The 2518-nt window shown below is 49.4% G+C and overlaps 1 pseudogene; it reads right to left on the bottom strand.

Moving 5' to 3' along the window:
- On the bottom strand, positions 263 to 1209 carry KRT19P3 (keratin 19 pseudogene 3; annotated as a pseudogene).

Below are 2518 nucleotides of genomic sequence, written 5' to 3' on the forward strand. Positions count from 1 at the left end.
TGAATGGGAAGGTCCCAGACTTCACGTCCCTTCAACAAAATATCCAACTAACAACTATCCACAGACAAGAACTTATGTGAAAAAACCCCTAAATTGGGAATGAGCCTGACACTAGTGTGGACCACAGAACTGGATAAAAACCACATTAAAATGGTAAGAGAAATGGTCTTATTTTGACCGCATCTCTCCTCCCTTCCCCCCAAGTTGGCAGAGGGCCACACAGACAGAATTCCCCTGGGTCCCATGATTCTATTTTATTTATCCTTGAGCCATAACATTTTATTGGTAGATCAGGGAAGAGCCAGGAGTAAGTGTCCCTTCCTTCCCATCCTCCTACCCAGGAGACACCCTCTAAAGGAGAGCAGAAGCCCAGGAGCCTGCCTCCTTAGAGGATCTTGGAGGTGGACAGGCTATTGTAGTGCTCTTCCTGGCCCTCGAGCAGGCTGAGGTAGGTGGCGAGCTCCTGCTCCAGCCACAACTTGATGTCCATGAGCAGCTGGTACTCCTGATTCTGCCTCTCACTGTCAGCTCGCACATCGCCCAGCTGAGCTTCAATACTGCTGATCAGCGCCTGGATCTGCGCCAGCTGTGGTCCAAAGCGTGCTGGTGACCTTCCAAGGCGGCTTTCATGCTAAGCTGCCACTGCAGCTCAATCTCAAGACCCTGGAGGTTGCACCGCAGGTCGGTGACCTGGGACCTGTTCATCTGGAGCTGCTCCATGTGGCCAACAACTTCCCAGTTCAGTTCCTCAGTGCAGCTGGTGAACCAGCGTTCAGCATCCTTTCGGTTCTGCTTGGCATGACCTCATATTGGCTCTGCATGTCACTCAGGATATTGGTGGCATCAGCGCCCAGAGCCGAATCCACTTCCACACTGATCTGGCCTCCCACCTGGCCCCTCAGGGCATTAATTTCCCCCTCATGGTTCTTCTTCAGGTAGGCCAGCTCTTCCTTCAGCCCTTCGGTCTGCATCTCCAGGTCGGTCCTGGCCAGGGTCAGCTCAACCAGCACCCCGTGCAGGCCATTATGTCAGCCTCCACACTCACGAGCAGAGTCTGCTCCCTCTCATACTTAGTTCAGAAGTCATCTGCAGCCAGACAGGCATTGTTGATCTGCAGGACAATCCTGGAATTCTCAATGATGTCACCAAGAATCTTGTAGCACAGGTACTCGATGGTCCCGTAGTAGTGGCTGTAGTCATGGGAGGGCCTGGGGCACATGATTTTAAAATGGGAAAACAACAAGAGACAGACATCCAGCTTCCCTAGCATTCTGAGGTGCATTCCTGGAAGCTCAGACCAGTCTTGCCTTATGGGGGACACTGGGAGTAATGGCATGGTTAGACTGTGTGGGGTCAGTTAGAAACAAAAAAAGGAGGCAGAGCTCACAGTGACCAGTGTGCAGATCTTGGCAGTAGCTCTGTGTTCCTGCCAGCTGTGGTGCCTAGTCAGAGATACCAGCCAACAGCACAGCCCAAGTCCAAAGCTGGACTGATCACTCCCAGAATCATGGTGGGAAGTTCAAGCTGGCTTTAGACTCTAGACATCCAGCATCCACGACCAGCCTCAGAGCCTATTTCAAGGCCCTGCCTACTCAGGGAGATGCCCACAACATTGCATTTCTTCAAAGCACAGGTGCCAAACCTGCCTGACATGGGAGGCCAAAAAGTGGCTTGATCTGGCCCCAGAGCCCACATCAAGGCACCACCCAGGCAGGGCAACAAGCCTCAACTGTGCATTTCTATGGAGTATAGCCTCTGATCCCATTTGTCCCGAATGGCAACTCTGCTAGCATCAAAACCCAGCCTGCAGCCCTGCCCAGCTGTGGAACCCAAACAGTGATACCACCCAGCCAGGGATATACCCTGTTACCTGGCTGATCAGGGACCATCATGTTGCTTGGCCATCAGCTTCACCTGATAGCAGAGCCCAGCCAGTGGTCTCACTTCACAGCAGAGCCCAGCCAGCAGTCTCAGACAACCTCAGAGCAACGGCAGTGGCCCAACCAACCAGAGAACCCAACAGCAACTCTACCTACTGTGGCCATTACTAGCTGATCTATCCAGAATCACAGGGTAGACTAAATAGTGAAAGTCTATCCCTGCCAAAGAACACCTGTAGACTGTAAGAGGTGGCTGTCTCCTCAAATACACAGACACCAACCCAGGACACAAGGATTATGAAGAATCAGAAAATCATGACACCTCCAAAAGAAACTAATAAAGCTCCAATGATGGACCATAAAATAAGGGAGTTCTATAAAATGACTGACAGAGAACTCAGAATAATTCTTTTAAAGAAGCTCAGTGAACTACACAAATATATTGACAGAAAATTAAATGAAATTTAGAAAACAAACATGAACAAAATGAGATGTTTGACAAAAAAATAAAGAAATAGGTACTTTTAAAAAAATTAGAAATCCTAGAGATGAGGAATACAATTACTGGACTGAAAACACTGCATAGAAAACTTCATCAGCAGACTCAGTCAAGATAAAGAACCAGTGATCTCAAAGAC

This window comes from Homo sapiens, chromosome 4, assembly GCF_000001405.40.
Source record: "Homo sapiens chromosome 4, GRCh38.p14 Primary Assembly".
In the NCBI taxonomy this organism is placed as follows: domain Eukaryota; kingdom Metazoa; phylum Chordata; class Mammalia; order Primates; family Hominidae; genus Homo; species Homo sapiens.